Source organism: Homo sapiens, chromosome 20 (assembly GCF_000001405.40).
Source record: "Homo sapiens chromosome 20, GRCh38.p14 Primary Assembly".
NCBI classification, from domain to species: Eukaryota; Metazoa; Chordata; class Mammalia; order Primates; family Hominidae; genus Homo; species Homo sapiens.
In genome coordinates, this window is record NC_000020.11 from 3,319,075 (window position 1) to 3,339,055 (window position 19,981).

At 43.3% G+C, this 19,981-nt stretch overlaps 1 protein-coding gene across 3 annotated transcripts in view; it reads right to left on the minus strand.

The window, feature by feature from the left end:
• The window catches only part of DNAAF9 (dynein axonemal assembly factor 9), a 158,364-nt gene that overhangs the window by 69,769 nt on the left and 68,614 nt on the right, over nt 1-19,981 (minus strand). For 2 of the 3 annotated variants that reach the window (NM_001009984.3, XM_047440081.1), the window contains exons 11-16: nt 13,206-13,287; nt 11,572-11,608; nt 7,123-7,210; nt 5,818-5,894; nt 3,578-3,622; nt 3,143-3,188 (exon numbers count right to left, since the gene is read on the minus strand). In NM_001009984.3, coding sequence (NP_001009984.1) covers nt 3,143-3,188; nt 3,578-3,622; nt 5,818-5,894; nt 7,123-7,210; nt 11,572-11,608; nt 13,206-13,287 — 375 coding nt within the window. The remainder of the gene's footprint in view (nt 1-3,142; nt 3,189-3,577; nt 3,623-5,817; nt 5,895-7,122; nt 7,211-11,571; nt 11,609-13,205; nt 13,288-19,981) is intronic. The other variant, XM_005260684.5, reaches the window with a different exon arrangement.

Here is a 19,981-nt window from a genome sequence, read left to right on the forward strand (position 1 = left end):
TCTGTCTCAAAAAAAAAAAAAAAAAAAAAAGAAAAAAAAATAGCCAGGCATGGTGGCGTCTGCCTGTGGTCTCTGTTATTCAGGAGGCTAAGGCAGGAGGATTGTTTGAGCCCAGGAGGTTGAGGCTGCAGTGATCTATGATCATGCCACTGCACTCCAGCCTGGGCAACGGACCGAGACCCCGTCTCAAAAAAAAAAAAAAAAAAAAAAAAAAAGCAAGAAAGCTATCAAGCTTTTATGGCCAAGACAAATAAAAGCTGAGGCTTCAGTAGCCTGGAAACAAAATTAGAACAACTCAGAGAGCTCCCAAATGTCTGGTAAGAAAGCCCTAATTTATTAGGTAAAAACTAGTGAAAATGAAACAATTCCGGGAAGAAGCCAGCAGAAGAAAGAGAAAATGATGTTAGCTAGAGCTAGAGTCTGTGATGACCAGGAAGATCTGATGAGGGACATGGGATAAGTAGCACAAGGACCTGTCCCCTCCTACCCTGAATAGTAGTGAGCGGTGGGTGCTGGTGCAGATCTCCTAAGTCCACTTTCACATATTGTCGTCCTAGCCTGGGACGCCTGTCCCACCCCTTAGGACAGAGACAAAAGATCTGAGGCTCTTGAACGGATTGCTGAATTTTCAAATAAAAACTTAAAGAGGCCACAAGGTTGAAAGGAAAAAAACCACAGTTAAGGCCAAAGCCCTTAATTTTCCATATTATTATGATAATAGGATATACAAAAGAGACAAGTAGGCGTCTATATTTGAATTAACTTTCCTTTCAGGTTTGACAACTGGAAGGTTTATCTAAAGCTGTCTCAAAGGATTTCGAGCATCTGAAGACACAGAACCCTCCTGAGCTACATGGTCCCTCTTAAGTGACAATGGCAATCCTATGTCTTTGGTTCCCAGACCAATCAGGTGGACAGATCCTGGGGGTTCCTGATCCTTCATGTTCATATTTGGCCACTGGTATTGAGGAAGGGAAGAGAGGATATTAAAAAGATAACATGTAGCATTTGTTGGACACTTGTTATGTACTTCCCACCATGTGGCACGGGGAAAGAAAAAATACAGCATGGTGCCTGTCTTCAGGAAATCTATAATGTATAGCTGGAGAAACAAGGGCATTCTTATATGAAGGTCATCATATGACACATTATGATATCATATGACACATTAGGATATAATTATTTCTTAATTTGTGTAGTACAAACTGCAACTGCAAGGACTATAGGAATACTTGTAGGGAGAAATCAACAGGGAAGGCTTTGGGGAGGATATAGAACTTCATCTCTGGATAAGAGGACAGAATGTAGACAAAAAGCATCAACTTCCTGCCTCTTATTTCCTATCTCATTAGCTGTGCATACTTGACGCAAGACTATGATTTTACTGGATTCCTAATCACCTGCTACTATGCAAAGCATCTTCCAAAGCACTGCTCAAGAGTCTAAGGAGAGAAGTCAGGGATTTAAAGTCTAACAAGGAGATAAAGTATTATCACCTAAATATCAGAAAGTATTTCCCAATGTTTTAATGATATCACAAAAAAGTCTAAACTAGTTCTAAAAGAACATCCACACAAAATGTTGACAGATGGGGACCAGGAACATTATAAAAACATAAATTACAACCTTAAAAAAATTACCCTTGTTGTGCTATTCTCTGTAGATAGGTTAACACTACTGACAGGAACTTTTGAGTTACTTTTCCACAGGTGATGGTGATGGGGATGCGCTTGTACCAAATTATCCACTGGGTGCTGCTCACCCAGTTCCCTGGGACCAAAGCTTTTTCAAACTAAGGCTCAGGCAGTGGTCACAGAACAGACTCAAGATATAACACACACCACAAACAGAATCTTGGCTAGATATGTACTACCCTCTCATGTACCATTTGCCAATCTTCTTCACATCAGGATGTTCTGGGGTAAAGGGAGGACTCAGCTTGTGGCTGAGAACAACTGGCCTAGAAACTCTGGCTCCCCTTCGCCATGCCATCCCACCCCAGGGACCATTATCTCAGTGCATCTCCAAACCATGCCCCCAGCACACAGGTTGGAAAACGTTGCTCTGACTACTCTACTTCATGGCAGACCCAGGTCCCTGTTGATTATTGGCCATTTAAATAATTATAGTCATGTATCACTTAATGACAGGGATACATTCTGAGAAATGCATCATTAGCTGATTTCATCACTGTGTGAACATTGTAGAGTGTACTTAAACCTAGATGGTGTAGCCTACTATACACCTAGGCTAGCTGGTATAGTCTATTGCTCCTAGGCTACAAACCCGTACAGCATGTTACTATACTGAATACTGTAGGCAATTATAACATGATGGTAATATTTGTGAATTTAGGCATATCTACACATAGAAATGGTGGGTAAAAATACAGTATTATGATATTATGGGACCACTGTTGTATCTGCAGTCCACTGTTGACCAAGATGTCCTTTTGTGGTACAGGACTGTAGTTAATTTTCTCAGGTTCCCTGTTTTTGTTTGTTTGTTTTCTGAGACTAAATCTCACTCTGTCATCCAGGCTGGAGTGCAGTGGTGCAATCACAGTTCACTGCAGTCTCAAACTCCTGGACTCAAGTGATCCTCCTGCCTCAGCCTCCTGAGGAGGTCGGGCTACAGGTGCATGCCACCACACCTGCCTAATTAAAAAAATTTTTTTTTTTAGACACGGGGTCTCACTACGCTGTCAAGACTGGTCTCAACTCTAGGTTCCTGTTAAGGACATCAATGCAAGTCTTGGAACTCAAAGATGCCACTGAAAAACTTAGTCTGTTAGTCAAGGCAAGCTTGTCCTGGATTCACATTTCGACAAGAGCAATCTCAGCTACCTGTAGGAAGGCTTCATAACCCAGAAAGAGGTGCCTCCCAACACCTCAGTTAAGACTCTGGACACTGGGGAAGCCTAGGCAAGGGAGAATAGATGTGGGTGGGCCTAGCACAGCTACCTGGGTACCTTCAGTAAACACAGGCTCACCCCTGCTATGGCTGGGATAGGACTGAGAGAAGATCAGCTTCTTCAGGTGGGGTGGGCTGCCCAAGACCCCCACCCACTCCCACCTCCCAACTTACAGATGTCCCTCTACAGGCCATTCCCAGCCAGCTGACCCATGATAGCTCTGCTTACCGTCTTCACAAAGGATAAGCTATCTTCACTGTCCAGCGGTACAATTCTAGGAGGGGAAAGAGATGGAAGACTATGTTAAAGAGTTTTTAAGTGTACTTAAATTTACAGTGTTTGCTTTTTTCAACTTGGCAATGACAAGTCATAGATTCGGATTGCTCTTAGGGCCTTTCAAAACACTGGGTTGCATGTCTGTAGAATTGGTATGTGGGCCACTAAGGTGAGTATGTCCATCCCCACCTCTGCCCCTCAGCTCTGCAGTGGGAAGCACTCAGGGTACAGGGGCTCAGCTGAGCACAGCCAGCCCAAGCCCAACCCTGGAGTGATGTCACTGCTAGGTGTGGAAGCATGAGAAAACCACTCATGTCAGCAGCCTCCCCTCTCTTTATCTTCCTAAAACTTGCTCCATGTAAGGATGCACCACAATCATATACGCACCTTCCCTGATTATTCACAGCATGTATATGAAAAGTCATCTTGGAGCTGTAGACCAGAAACAAAACAAAAGAAAAATCAGTCTGCTCCTGCTCCTCAGATACCTGTGCAGGGTACCTGCTTGGGATTCTCAAGGCCACACAGTGAGGTGTGTGTCATCCTTGCTTTACACAGATTTACCCTATTTTGGATACTTTCCCCAGGGTCCCACACCACCAGCAGGTATGAGGCCAGAATCTGACTCTAATCACAGCCCTGCCTCTGTGCAAGTCCTAAGGACGGTCTTGACTCTTGGACCACAACAGGAGAAAATGACATGAGAGGACTGCTGCTCACTGCAGACTGAGAATGACCCTCCATCCCTGCTCTGAGCGCAAGCAGAGGCCACGTCTCTGCAACTCACAGTCAAATGCTGTGGAGCCATGGGTGAGGCCTTCAGAGTTGAGAAATAACTAGAAAACCCTTTCAGCTTACTCTAACTTGTGTAAGTGTAATCTCTTGCATTAACACATACTAGATAGCTACACACTAATTACTGTCTGCATTCATGGCTCCCACTCCTTCCCCTCTTGGGAGAAAGAGATCTGCTAACCTGAAGCAGTTTGAGGGTCCTCAGTGAAGTAATCTTTTTTTTTTTTTTTTTTTTTTTTTGAGACAGAGTCTCATTCTGTCACCCAGGCTGGAGTGCAGTGGCGCAATCTCGACTCACTGCAACCTCCACCTCCTGGGTTCAAGCGATTCTCCTGCTTCAGCCTCCCCAATAGCTGGGACTACAGGTGTGTACCATCATGCCTGGCTAATTTTTGCATTTTTAATGAAGGCGGGGTTTTGCCATGTTGGTCAGGATGGTCTTGAACTCCTGACCTCAAGTGATCGCCTGTCTTGGCCTCCCAAAGTGTTAAGATTACAGGCGTGAGCCACTGCGCCCCGCCCTCAGTGAAGCAATCTTTGTGGTGAGAAAGGGGAGGGGCTCTAGGTGGAAGACTGGCCTGGGGGACTTTTCTCCCATTGACTGGTGTTTTCTTCTTGTGCCTTTCTCCAGCTAGGGCAGACACCTAGGCCTAGGAGGCCTTGGGACTGAGAGGGGGCCTGCTCTGGGGAGGCTGAGTGGCCTAGGCAAGGGCCCAAGTAAAGGAGAAGTAGAATGACTATGCCAGCCATATTGATGGTAAGAGAATACCCCACTGTGACAGCAGCTAACATCTATGTGCCCAACTGCTTTACAAGGTGGGTAGCTGAAGGAGCAGATACAGACAGTTCCTATCTTGCCCAAGGTCACACAGATGCAAACTGAAGAAGCGTTCTCAAATTCAGGTTGGCCAGAAACAGATAGCACAGGGCAGCACAAGGTCTTAAGGGAACAAACTTCCTTTATCCTTTCCCTTTCATGGCCAGGGCAGCAAGATCCAGAAGACCCAGGGGAAAGAAGACCTGAAGCAAGTCTAAAGCCCTGCACCACAGAGTTCTGGCTCTTTCTTCCACTCCTGGGGCTGCAGAAATAGAATTCTTTTTGTTAGACCAATTAATTGACTAATCTTTCAAATACTCTCTCTTATTACACAGGACTATAGATTTAAGAAAATGTGGGACATAGACCTGAGGCATCACAGGACACATCCTAGAAGTATTCTTAAATAAATTCCCCAGTATTGGTGTCTTTTGTATCCTTTGTATAAAAGTGCACATAATGGTCCTCACGTGAAACAGTGGTTAAGTGGACTGGGTTCATGAAGATTTAGCTATGGATAACAACCACCGTGACATGCTGGGAGATGTGATGGAAAAATCACCAGATTCTCAGATGATGCAGACCCCAGGACACGGCCAGGCTCAGGGTTTCTGTCATTCAAGAGACAGATGAGGCCCAGTGCAAGTTTCTTCTAAGCAGTGACTATCTTCCTGTGCCCAGGGCCCTCTGCCCCTAGAAACCTCACCATTCAGGTACCCAGCTTTGCCTTTCTAGCCTTGGAACCCAGGCTTGTCAAATCTCCTGTGATGCTGGTGTTAATCTGCCCTGCATTCTAACCTCAGAACATGTGTGTGACTTTCTCAAACAGTTCCTGCATCTTTGGCTCTTTGGCTTCTAAGTGAAGGCTGAATCATGAATGATTCTCCTTCACACATCCCATTATTTTACTGAAACATTTCTCAAAGGGGAGATGAAATCTAAATTATAAGGGAAAAAAGAATATTCCAAAACGAAGAAAAAAAATTCCTTATAAAAAATATCAGCCATTGCTTACCGCAGGGCTGCCTTAAACGGAATCAACTCAAAGGAATCTAACCCAGATCCCAGAGTTTGCTCTGCTACCTCCTTGGCCTGTAAAATAATAAGACAGCGACAATTAGCTTTCACAGCAGGAAAAAGTACACATATCACTGATGGAAGGGCCCTCCTAACACTTGTCCAGGATCACACCATGCCCTACAGTGTGTCCTTCCCATCTATGTGACTACTTGGTAGGCATGAATAGATTAAAGTGAAAGTATCATGTTAAGGGAAAGAAGGGCCTGCTTTCTCCAGGCTAGGTTTACAGGACAAAACTGCATTCAGGCAGGTGTGCACTGGAACCTGACGTGCTGGATCCAGAGAAGTGACCAGCTGTGATGACAGCAGTGGAATGTGAGGTCTGTAAAAGTGCTTTCTCCTCCCCTCTTCCTTGGCTCTTGGGAAGGAACCTCTGCCCTCAGAGTTTTAGCCAGATGCTAAGAATATCCAAATAGCAAGAGTTACAAAAGATCAGTTAAAAAACAAAGATGTGAGAACTGATATTGAAGGACACCCCACTGCTTTGGATAAGCCTTCTGCATGTAGTGGCTAAAGGGCTGAGAAATCCGGAGTCAGTACCAGGGATACAAGTTCAGTGAGGAGGGGAGATGGCAAGGAGCTGGTGACTACAGCTACAGTCTCTCTGATATCTACATCATACACAACCTTTCCAATGTCAAATGGCTTCCTTCAGAAAAGGTCCTATTGGCATTTGGGAGGCATCAAGCTGACTCTTCTCATCTCCTTACTGGGTCAGATATAGGAATCCAACTCAGCAGGGCAGGTTAACCGCAAAACAGCAAGGAAGATAATGGTCAGAGAACGGGAACACATGTGCTTGTCTAGGAAAAGCAAGTCAGATTTTCTAATCTTTAGCTATTTTTTTTAAACACTGAGTTATAGGAAATCAAACTTACCAAACTTTATTAGATTTCACAGTAGAATAATCTAAAGTTGTCTTTTTGGTTTTTTTTTTTTAGCTTTTAAAAGACTTTTGTTTAAGCTATTCAACAAAACAATGTGCTACAGAATGATTTTTCCTTAACACAACCAGATGTCTACAAAGAAGCACCGATTAGTTGTCATCCATAAGACAACAGCAGCACAGTCACAGGCAGCAGAAGCTCAGTGCTCTCAGGGCTTCTCTCTGCCTGGTGTCAAAGAGGCCCAAGCTCGCACAAAAGTGAGTACTACAAGATGTCCAAAGAAGAAACACATGGATAGAATGTTTTACATTAAAATAATAATTACAGAAAGGGAAACATGGTATTTAAATTACCTTTGTTAGACTGGAAGTTTTAGCATAACATGCAATGCCAGCCAAAACAGCCTCAATAACAGCAGCATATATCTGGGACAATAGCCTACTTTAAAAACAAAAAATAATGGTTAACATTACAGCATCATGAGGTTTTTGTCAAAAGATGCATGCACATAAATGACAGCCCCTAAGAAACTGATTTTTAAACAGAATGAAAAAAGGCAAAAATATAACCCACTGATTTCTAAACCTTTTAAAAGTCACATGCCTGGGCCAGGCATAGTGGCTCAGGCTTGTAATCCCAGCACTTTGGGAGGCTGAGATGGGCAGATCGCTTGAGCCCAGGAATTTGAGACCAGCCTGGGCAACATGACTTAACCCCATCTCGACAAAAAATAAAAATAAATAAAAATAAAATTATCCAGAAATGGTGGTGTGTGCCTGTATTCTCAGCTATTTAGGAGCCTGAGGCTGGAGGATCACTTGAGCCTGGGAGGCAGAAGAGGCTGCAGTGAGCCAAGACTGTGTCACTGTACTCCAGCCTGGGTGACAGAGTGGGACCCTGTCTCAAAAAAAAAAAAAAAAAAGTCATATCCCTGGTTTGACTTATACTTTGCTTTTGTTAAATCACCTTAAGGAAAGTCGGCTCCTCTGAATTCTGCTCAAGAGACTGCCCCTCCCTGTTTGTAACCAAACAGAATAAAACTGTGTAGACTCCTTGACTCCTCTATGTGCAGGAACAGCTACCTACAGAGCAGGAATTCCTTCAGTGTTCTCATACCCACTTGCTGCTTTCCCAGGGACCAATCATACTGTAGTTTCATATCGTCTTTTCACTAGACCTGCTGAAGGCTGGTCTATTACTGGAACCTCCGGGTAGGAGACCTCAGCGGGAGAAGAGAGATGACCAGACTGAGGAAGGGCTGGGTTTTTCTCTGCCAGAATGGACTGCCACGAAGGTCCCTAGAAAAACCAGTCTGGTTCATTTCAGGGAACCACCTAAGGTGGTTTTTCCACCTTGGCATTTAGGACTGGATAATTCTTTGCTGTGGGGGTTTGTCCTGTGCATTGTAGGATGTTCGGCAGCACCCCTGGCTGCTAACCAGCATCCCTACCCACTAGATGTTGGTAGCATTCCAGTTGTGATAATCAAAAATTTCTCCAGACCCTGCCAAATGTTCCTGGGAGTGGGGAAAGATGGGGGAGGGAGGTACAATAGAATTGCCCTTGGTTGAGAACCACTGCCTTGGAGGAAGGAGGTGCAGGCTCTTCTTAGGACACTTACGAAGAGAAGGGGCTCATCCAAGGGTCCCTGAAAGGCCAGGAGAGGCATCTGGCAAGGAACTGACAAGGTCTCACCTAAAAATGTGTCTATTTTTAAGCCCATAAGAATCTTGTAAAGGAATCAGGTAAAGGAAGGTGATAGGAGTTTGAAAGTGGGAAAAAACACAGAAATGATTTGGTCTAATCCTCTCATCTTATAGAAGAAGCAATAAGGGCCTCTGGAAGTGGAATATGTTGTCTATTAAGTCACAGAAAATTCATGGCTGACCCAAACTCAGATCTGCTCTCAGCCTGGTGCTTTTCCACTGTGCCACATCACATTGCCACCTCCTTCAATTTCCTCCTTGGCTCCTGCACCACATGCAGGACATGACATGTCAGCTCCAAGTATCAACATATCCTGAAGACTTCTGGCCAGGCAAGGGCAGGGCAGAGGGTATACCCTGGAAGGGGCCTGGCAGAGAGATGTGAATGAGCTTGGCCCCTTCCAGGTGAGACCAGAATCCTCTACACTTTGACACTAAGGGTGCATTTAAAGATGCCAAACCCAAAGACATGCAAAGATATCCCCCTCCTCAGCTGATTCAAACATCACTCGGTACCAACACTGGTCAGGCCTTCCCCTTGCTTGGTCTTCTCCTATACTGATCCTTACATAGGAGATCAATACACAAGCCACATGGCCGCTGACCCATAAAATTAAAAAGCCTGCATGGCTCTGTTTTTTTTTTTTTTTTGAGATGGAGTCTTGCTCTGTCACCCAGGCTAGAGTACACTGGTGCGACCTCAGCTCACTGCAACCTCTGCCTCCCGGGTTCAAGCGATTTTCCTGCCTCAGCCTCCTGAGTAGCTGTGATTACAGGCGCCTGCCACCGTGCCTGGCTAGTTTTTGTATTTTTAGTAGAGGCGGGGTTTCACCATCTTGGCCAGGTTGGTTTCGAACTCCTGACCTTGTGATCCATCTGCCTTGGCCTCCCAAAGTGCTGGGATTATAGGTTATAGGCATAAGCCACTGCACCCGGCCTCTGTTGTCACTTTCACTTGAATCCACATGTTCCACTGGATCTGTGATTTGGCAAATCTCCCAATGTGCACCCAGTTACCACTCAATACCAGTCCCTGACATGGGGCATCAATGGATTTGGTTTAGGCAAAATGTTTAAGGGTCTAGCATAAGGATCCAGGACAGTGGCTAAGCAGCGCTGGCACAGAAGTACAAGCAGGCACAAGGTAAGACTACACCCACCAACGTGAGGAAATGGTTGACTTGTTGCTAAGGAAAGGAAACCCACAAAAGAACTACATACACACTATGATTACAGCTTAATACTTTTTTTAAAAGCCCAGAAAGATATATACGTATACATACACATACACACACACGTATACACACACACACAATTTTCCTTTTTTTTTTTTTTTTTTGAGATAGAGTCTTGCTCTGTCACCCAGGCTAGAGTGCAGTGGCGCTATCTCGGCTCACTGCAACCTCTGTATCCCAGGTTCAAGCACTTCTCCTGCTTCAGCCTCCTGAGTAGCTGGGATTACAGGCATGTGCCACCACATTTGGCTAATTTTTGTATTTTTAGTAGAGACGGGGTTTTGCCATGTTGGCCAGGCTGGTCTTGAACTCCTGACCTCATGTGATCCACCCGCCTTGGCCTCCCAAAGTGCTGGGATTACAGGTGTGAGCCACTGCACCTGGACACACACGCACATTTTTGAGACAGGAACTCACTCTGTCACCCAGGCTGCGTGTAGTGGTGTGATCTCAGCTCACTGCAGCCTTGACCTCCCCAGGCTCAGATGATCCTCCTGCCTCAGCCTCCCAAGTAGCTGGGAATACAGGCGTGTGCCACTATGTCCAGCTAATTTTTGTAGAGACAGAGTTCCACAGGGTTTCCCAGGCTAGTCTCGAATTCCTGGGCTCAAGCCATCTGCCTGCCTCGGCCCCCCAGAGTCCTGGGATTTCAGGTGAGCCACTGCGCTCAGTCCCAGAAATATATAAATTAAGATACTAATGGGTAGTGCCAGACAGGAGGAATTATAGCTGATCTTAATTTCGTTTCTCTAATTCCATATTTTCTATAGTATGATTATATTTCTTCTATTATATTTTTCCCAATACAACTTTGTGGGCCCTGCCCTAGAAATTCTGATTGTAATCCTGGGATTGGGCCTGGAGAACCTATATTTTAAAGAGATCTTTAGATAATCCTTTGTAGCCTCTCACTGCTGGTCACAGGGAAGTGTTGATCTAGACCCCACCAAGTTAAGCTGCAGTATTTAATTAGGTAATAATAAAATTCCATTATGTCCATATTGCTGAAGGACAATGCTTTCTGGAATTTAATAGTTTCAGCACTAATGAGTTTATTTTCTGTCTTTGGTTTCCTGCTGTATGTGAAAGAAGAGAAGTCAACACTAGGTAGACCCTTTCTGAGGTTGCACAGCCAGTGTTCACACCCTCTCACTATGTTCCATAGGCTTAAGTGTCAAATCCAGAGAAAGACACTCTTCAGACCAGTTGGGGTTTCACATGATTCTCCCAATGGATTTCAGGATGGTTTATTCTTAGAAAAGCCCTTAATTTAAAAATGCATTATATAGAAAACATATCAAGGAGAGTTACATCATAAATGCATGGGTGTGCAGGTAAGAAGTCTCTGAAATCTAGAGAGAAGAGCAGATGGCAAAGCTGGCAAGGTTCTCTGGCCTGAATTCCAAGCTGAGAGAAACTTGGGAAACAACACAGTAATGTTCATGTCATAAACCAGATGTCTTCTTCTTCTTCTTTTTTTTTTACACAGTCTCCCTCTGTTGCCAAGAGTGCAGTGGTGCAATCATATAGCTCAGTGAAATCTCGACCTCCCAGGCTTAAGTGATCCTCCCACCTCAGCCTCCTGAGTAGCTGGGACCACAGGTGTGCACCACTATGCCTGGCTAATTTTTTATTTTCTGTAGAGACAGGGTCTGCTTATGTTGCCCAGGCTGGTCTCGAATTCCTGGTCTCAAGTGATCCTCCCACCTCAGCTTCCGAAAATGTTGGGATTACAGTGTGCGCCACCACACCCAGCAAAAGCAGATGTCTTAATCACTGTTGATCTCAAAAGGAAGTACACAGGACAGTCACAACTGAGTAACTCAACTTTGAGAAAGAAAAAATAAAATATGAAGACTTACATTTGTTCAGTTTTCTTGGGCAGCTTGCTGTCACCACCTGTGAAAGAGGCCCACTAAGAATGTGACAAGAGCACAGGATATGCAAACACTTAACAAGGAAGCTAGAAATGCTTAATTTACCTGGAAGGCATTGTCAAGAACTACACTTTTTTTTTTTTTTTTTTGAGACACAGTTTAGCTTTGTCGCCCAGGCTGGAGTGCAGTGGCGTAATCTCGGCTCACTGCAACCTCCGCCTCCCAGGTTCAGGCGATTCTCCTGCCTCAGCCTCCTGAGTAGCTGGGATTACAGGTGCACGCCACCATGCCCCGCTAATTTTTGTGTTTTCAGTAGAGATGGGGTTTTGCCATGTTGGCCAGGCTGGTCTCAAACTCCTGACCTCAAGTGATCCACCCACCTCAGCTTCCAAAGTGCTAGGATTACAGGCGTGAGCCACCATGCCCAGCCTACTTTTTTCTTTTAAGTTAAATATAGTACAAACACCAACAACAGTGGAACCCGGCCATTCCCAATAGCCTCCTGAACCTTCACCCGCATTTTCCACTTTTACAACCCACTCAGCAACACCACTAAATACCAGAGATGTGTGGAATCTTAGGTTCTGGAATGTTTTTGTTTTTATTTTTAATTTTTTAAACTTCGAGACATCAGTAAACAGGCTCAGTTCTACCTCTTGCTTTATCTCCTTAATTACCTGACCCAAGTTATGCTTCTTTCCAGAGTTTCCTGGCTTATTTAACATCATCCAGAATAAAATACGGTTCCTGACGTACTCTCCTCTGTGTAGCAATGCTGAGACCTGCGTTCATTCCATAGGTTCTTTTCCATGTGTCTTTGGATACCTGCAACTTCTGGTTACCCCAGTAAGCAGGGCAGCCCCAGCAAGCCTAGCCTTTCTGGATGGCCCCACAGCATGCTCCTGCTCCTAAGTACCCTTTTATTATGGCCTCTTCTCACTTTCCTCACAAGAACAGTCCAGTGGGCACCTGGCTGAGTCATCCAAATTCCCACTGCGGACCCCACCTCTTGCTTTTTTGTTGTTGTTGTTAAGACAGAGTCTCACTCTGTTGCCCAGGCTAGAGTGCAGTGGCTCAATCTTGGCTCACTGCAACCTCCACCTCCCAAGTTCAAGCGATTATGGTGTCTCAGCCTCCTGAGTAGCTAGGACTACAGGTGTGCACCAGCACGCCTGGCTAATTTTTGTATTTTTAGTAGAGATGGGGTTTTGCCATGTTGGCCAGGCTGGTCTCAAACTCCTGACCTTAAGTGATCTGCCTGCCTGGGCCTCCCAAAGTGCTGGGATTACAGGCGTGAGCCGCCATTCCTGGTCCCTACCTCCTGCTTTCTTAAACTAGGTCTTATTCATCTTGGCCTCCCCTGTGACACCTAGCAAAGGGTTATACACATGGTTAGACTTAATGTAGGCTGCACCAATCATCTTCCTCTTGAAACACATTCTGTGAGAAACGTGTTAGACATATCAACTATCCAGAAGTAATCAGAGAGGGAGCTGGAGGCCCACAAATTGGGTAACCTGAGCTTCCAAGCAAAGTAGTGAATTGTATGTCAACTTCTAGTTCATGGGACAGACTATTCATTAGATAAGCTGATGAGATGACAACTTATAGGGACTTACCCAAGTAAGGAACATGAGTAGCTCCAAAAAAGTATGTTCTCGAACAAGCAAGAGGTCCCTTTGGTGAGACACACTGGGCTACCTGGATGTCAGAAAAAAATAAAAATAAAAAGGGGCAATAACTTAGGCATGTACTAGTAGATAAACAAAAAGTATAGAGTCAATGGAAATAAATTTTCTTTTTTTTTTTTTGAGACAGAGTCTTACTCTGTCATGTAGGATGGAGTGCAGTGGCGCAATCTCAGATCATTGCAACCTCCACCTCCTGGGTTCAAGTGATTCTCCTGCCTCAGCACCCCCAGCAGCTGGGAGTACAGGCACATGCCATCACACCCAGCTAATTTTTTTTTTTTTTTGTATTTTTAGTAGATACAGAGTTTTGCCATGTTGGCCAGGCTGGTCTCAAACTCCCGACCTCAGGTTATCTGCTCGCCTTGGCCTCCCAAAGTGCTGAGATTACAGGTGTGCACCACTGCACCTGGCCAGAAATAAATTTTCTTCTACAAAACAGATTTATTATTTTTTAAAGACACAGGGGAAAAGATGATCTTTAACTGTTTTTCCAAAGGTATCTTTTGGTGCGTGTGCGTGCGTGCATGCGTGTGTGCGTGTGTGCGTGTGGTGTGTGTGTGTGTGTGTGTGTGTGTGTGTGTGTGTGGTTTAAACCTTGGCTATATTGTGAGGGTGCTGTTGGATACTCAGTTAGCCCAGGGATGCTAGGGCAATCATGATTCAGAAGGAAAAAGGAAGCAAGGTGTTTGGGTTTTGACTGTCATTAATACTTAGTCCAGAGCTTTCACAGTGAAGCCCCTGGCTGACATGACAGGCAGAGGTGTGGGACAGCTCCAAATTCAGGAAAGGATGGTGCTATCCACATCCCCACAACCATTTGTATTTCATCTCTGTACATAGACCCTGCGGAAGAGAAAATAAGTTCCTCTAGGTTTTCAAATTTTTATTCTTCTTCCCTGTTAAGATGTTCATTGATACAGAGATAAAATAGATGTCCTTTCCTCTTCTGAAAATCCAACATCTCATGAGGGTTCCTAGAATAATAGGTATAAAATGCAAAAATACTACCACAAGAACTAAAGGAACATTAGTAAGTACAATATACAAAAAGTAGCTAAATACAACACAAATACTCATTCCTTCTATTTTACTCAATTGTTTAAGACAACAACACTAGAATTCAAGGCATTTTTCTATAACATTGTGAATCCAAGTTACAGATTGGAAATGAGAACTTATTCTAACTAAGCTATAAAAAAGTTACTAATAGTGAACATCATCAATATTGCCATGACAATGAATGAAAACTCATGGAGGTATTTCTAATTGCTGGTTGATACATATTTCCTCAATTAAAACATGTTCCTTGGATCTCCAATTTTCCCTTATTAAAGGTTTTTTTTTTAAAGGTGCCAAGTGTTTGTGCTATGAATTGAGTTAAAGTCACATGGTTTAAACCCCAGATTTGAAGTGACACAGTTCTCTTTCACTTGTGTACACTTGAGTACGTGAATCTGAAGTCTATCTCAGTCAGAAGATCAACACACCAGCACAGGTGTTGGCCAGTAGAATGGGATCTATACACAGAGTCAACATTTCTCTCAGGAAAGAACTTTGGATTGTCTTAAGTAGTTAAAATAAGTAACTGTCTAAACCTTGGTGTCATAGAGCACGACTCTTAAAAACATTTTAAGTCAGGCTGAATCAATTGCGAGCTTTCCTGGAAGACTATAAAAAACAAGAAGAACCTCAAGACAGCTTCATTGGATGTCTGGTGTAAAGGTACCTATCCTTGTATTCAAAGGAAGATTTTGAAATAAATAAGTAACAATATATATCCAGATAATCTTACCCACAGCCTTGGTTTTAATTACCCCCTTCATACCAAGGGAATGCTCAAATGTTTACTTCTAGACAAGACTAATCCTCGCAACCCTAGACTTATGTATCTAACCCACTGCCGCCTCAGCTCCACTGGGGTGTCTCACGGTCATTTCAAACTCACTGTCTAAAGTGAACTTCACACACATCCAATCTGACTCTCCTCAGTGTTCCCTCTCCAAATGAATAGTTTCTTTGTCCACTCAGTACAGACATCAGAATCTTGGAGCTTCCATGGCTTTTTGTGGCTTGACAGCTCTTTTCTTTTTATCCCTAAATAGCATCCATTCACTTACTGAAAGACATCTTGGTTGCTTCTAAGTTTTGGTAATTATAAATATCCATATGCAGGTTTTTGTGTGGACATAAGTTTTTAATTCTTTGGGTAAATACCAAAAAGCGAAATTGCTGGATCTTATGGTAAGGCTATATTTAGTTTTGTAAGGAAATGCCAAACTGTCTTCCAAAGTGACTGTACCTTTTTGCATTCCCACCGGCAATAAATCAGAGTTCCTGTTGCTCCATATCCTCACCAGCATTTGGTGTTGTCAGTCTTCTGAATTTTAGCCATTCTAATAGGCGTGTAATGGACATCTAAATTATTGCTCCAAACATTTCCTAGCTGGCTCTCAAGTCAGCCCCAGGATGATAAGAAATTCACGACTCAGAAGGAAAAAGGAAGCAATGTGTTTCGGTTCAAACATTTCCTAGCTGGCTTTCCCTGGAGTTTTCAAGTCTATGAGATCCTCAAAGGCAAAGATCATGACTATCCCTTCATCTAGCACAGTGACTGGCATTTACTAGACATTCAACAAGGATTACTGACTTAATGAGTGAAAACTCTTTGGCTTTGGAGTGATACAGACCTGAGAGCAGAAATTGCTTTTATAATACAATCTATAATGTGGATATACACTGGGTGGTTTTTTATTTTTATTTTTTTGGCAACTTTTGAGATAAAACCATTTTAAAGTATATAATTCTGTGGTACACTGCCTTGATCATTTTGTTCTCTTCCCTTCCTGATGTTCCAAGATTCCTTCTTTTATCATTTCCTCTCTGTTTAGACCAAATTTCTTTAAGTTATTCTTTTAGGTAGGTCTTCCAGCAACAAATTCTTGTAGTTTTCGTTCATCTGTGAATGTCTTGATTTTCCCTTAATTCTAGAAGGATATTTTTGTTAGATACAGATTTCTAGGTTGACAACTCTTCTCTTTCAGCATTTGAAATATAGGTGCCACTTCCTTCTGGCCTTCATGGTTTCTGATGAGAAAGAAATACAACTTTCACTCAAAAATTGTTGGCCGGGCATGGTGGGTCACGCCTGTAATCCTAGCACTTTGGGAGGTCGAGGCGGGTGGATCACCTGAGGTCAGGAGTTCGAGACCAGCCTGGCCAACATAGTGAAACCCTGTCGCTACTAAAAATACAAAAATTAGCCAGGTGTGGTGGTGGGCACCTGTAATCCCAACTCCTTGGGAGGCTGAGGCAGGAGAATAGCTTGAACCCAGGAGGTGGAGGTTGCAGTGAGCCGAGATCATGCCACTGCACTCCAGTCTGGGTGACAAGAGCAAAACTCCGTCTCAAAAAAAAAAAAAAAAAAAAATTGTCTTCCCCCTATGGGTAAGGTGCTATTTCTTTCTGGCTGTTTTCAAGATTTTTTGTTTGGGCTGAGCGTGGTGGCTCATGCCTGTTATCTCAGCACTTTAAGAGGCCAAGGCAGGTGCATCACTTGAGGTCAGGAGTTCAAGACCAGCCTGGCCAACATGGCAAAACCCTGTCTCTACTAAAAATACAAAAATTAGCCAGGCATGGTGGTGCGCACTTGTAGTCCCAGCTACTTAGGAGGCTGAGGCATGAGAATTGCTTGAACCCAGGAGGCGGAGATTGCAGTGATTCAAGATTGAGCCACTGCACTCCAGCCTGGGTGACAGAGCGAGACCCCATTTCAAAAAAAAAATATTTTTTGTCTGTAGTTTTCAACAATTTGACTTTGATGTGTATTGGTGTGGGTATTTTGGGGTTTAATCCTGTTTGAGGTTCACTCAGCTTCTTGATTTTGCAGATTCACAGTTTTGCGTTTTTGTTTTTTTTTTTTTTTTTGCCAAATTTGGGGGAATTTCAACCTTTATTTCTTCATTTTTTAAGTCTCATCTTCGTTCTCCTCTCCTTCTGGTACTCCAACAATATGAATATTTGGATTTTTTGTGAGAGTCCCACAGCTCTCTGAGGTTTTGTTCAGTTTTTTTTTTCAGTCTATTTTCTGTTGTTCAGATGGGTGATTTCTATTGTTCTATCTTCAAGTTCATTGATTCTTTATTCTCTCATTTCTGTTTTGCCACTGAGCCCATTCACTGAGTTTTTAAATTTGACTACTGTTATTTATTTATTTTTGAGATGGAGTTTCGCTCTTCTCTCCCAGGCTAGAGTGCAATGGTGCAACCTTGGCTCACTGCAGCCTCTGCCACCCAGGTTCAAGTGATTCTCCTGCCTCAGCCTCCCGAGCAGCTGGGATTTTACAAGCGCCTGCCACCACGCCTGGCTAATTTTTCTATTTTTAGTAGAGACGGGGTTTCGCCATGTTGGCCAGGCTGGTCTTGAACTCCTGACCTCAGGTAATCCGGCCTCCCAAAGTGCAGGGATTAAAGTTGTAAGCCACCGCGCCTGGTCTATTTTTACTTTAAAAATCTCAATTTGGTTTTCCTTTTTCTTTTTTTTTTTTTTTTGAGATGGAGTCTCGCTCTGTCGCCCAGGCTGGAGGCAGTGGCACGATCTCGGCTCACTGCAAGCTCCGCCTCCCGGGTTCACACCGTTCTCCTGCCTCAGCCTCCCAAGTAGCTGGGACTACAGGAGCCTGCCACCACACCCAGCTAATTTTTTCTATTTTTAGTAGAGATGGGGTTTCACCATGTTAACCAGGATGGTCTCGATTTCCTGACCTCGTGATCTGCCCACCTCGGCTTCTCTAAGTGCTGGGATTACAGGCGTGAGCCACCACGCCTGGCCTCAATTTGGTTTTTCTACACATCTTCTATTTCGTTGTTGAAACTTTCTATCATTTACTCCAAGGGTATTTGTAGTTGCTCACTGAAGTTGTTTTTTTTTTTTTGAGACGGAGTCTTGCTCTGCTGCCCAGGCTGGAGTGCAGTGGCGTCATCTTGGCTCACTGCAACCTCCGCCTTCCAAGTTCAAGCACTTCTCCTGCCTCAGCCTCCCAAGCAGCCGGGACTACAGGCATGTGCCACCACGCCCAGGTTCTTTTTTTTTGTTTTTTTTTTTTTTGGTATTTTTAGTAGAGACCAGGTTTCACTGTGTTAGCCAGGATGGTCTTGATCTCCTGACCTCGTGAAGTATTTTTATGATGGTTGCTCTAAAATCCTTGTCAGTTAATTCTCACATCTGTGTTCTGTTAGTGCTGGCACTGATGACTGTCTTTTCTCATTGAGTTTGAGATCTCTAGTGATTTTTCAATTGAAACATGGACATTTTTAGTGGTTTCCCTGGAGTTTGTGATATAAATTAATAACTAATCGAAGTCCACCTTCAAATTACACTCTATCCCTTTGTGTGTAGTGCATAAACCTTGTGTCAGAGTACTCCCATGTCCTCCCTCCTGTGTCTTATTACATTGCTGCCACTCACTCATCTACATGCTGTAATCACCTATACAGTTACTATTATTAGAGAGTTATCTTTTAGATTAGCAATAAGAAAAATAAAAGGTTTCATTTTATCTTCATTTATTCCTTCTTTGATGCTCTTCCTTTATGTGGATCCAAGCTTCTGATATATATATATAATATATAAAATATATAATACATAACATATATAATACATATTATATATTACGTTATATATAATTAAAATATATAATATATGCACACATACATAGTGTATATATAATAATATATATACACACATACATACATACACACACACATACATAAAGAACACTTAACATTTCTTACAGGACAGATCTGCTAGTGATAAATTCAATTTTTTTGTTTGAGAAAGTATTTCTCTTTTGTTTCCTCCTTTTTCTTTTGAAGGATAAGTTTGTTGGATATAAAATGTGGTTTGGTTGGTGTGCTTTTTCATTCAACACTTTAAAATATCATTTCACTCTTTTCTTGTTTGTATGGTTTCTGATAAGAAGTCCCCTGGAATTTTCATCCTTGTTCCTCTATAGGTAAGGTGTTTTATTTCCCCTTTTGGCATTTTAAGAGATTTTCTCTTTGTCTTTGATCTTCTGAAGTTTGAATAGGATAGGCCTACACATAGATATTTTGGGATTTATCCTGCTTGGTGTTCTCTAAGCTTCCTGGGTCTGTGGTTTTGTGTCTTTGTCATGAATTTTGGAAAATTCTTGGCCATGACTACTTCAAGTACTTCTTCCGTTTCCTTCTCTTTCTTCTTCAGGTATTCCCAGTACATGCACATTATACCTTTTGAAATTGTCCCAGGGTTCTTGGATGATTTTTTTTTTTTTTTTTTTCTGAGACGGAGTTTTGCTCTTGTTGCCTAGGCTGGAGTGCAATGGTGCGATCTCAGCTCACTGCAACCTCCGCCTCCTGGGTTCAAGCGATTCTCCCACCTCAGCCTCCCTAGTAGCTGGGATAACAGGCGCCCGCCACCACACCCAGCTAATTTTTTGTATTTTTAGTAGAGATGGGGTTTCACTATATTGGCCAGGCTGGTCTCGAACTCCTGACCTCAGGCAATCCACCTGCCTCGGCCTCCTGAAGTGCTGGGATTACAGGTGTGAGCCACTGTGCCCGGCTGGTTCTTGGATGATTTTTTTTTTCTCTCATTGTTTTCTTCTCTTCACACTCCTGTTCGGGAATTTTCTATTGACCAATGTCACGCTTACTGATTCCTTCCAT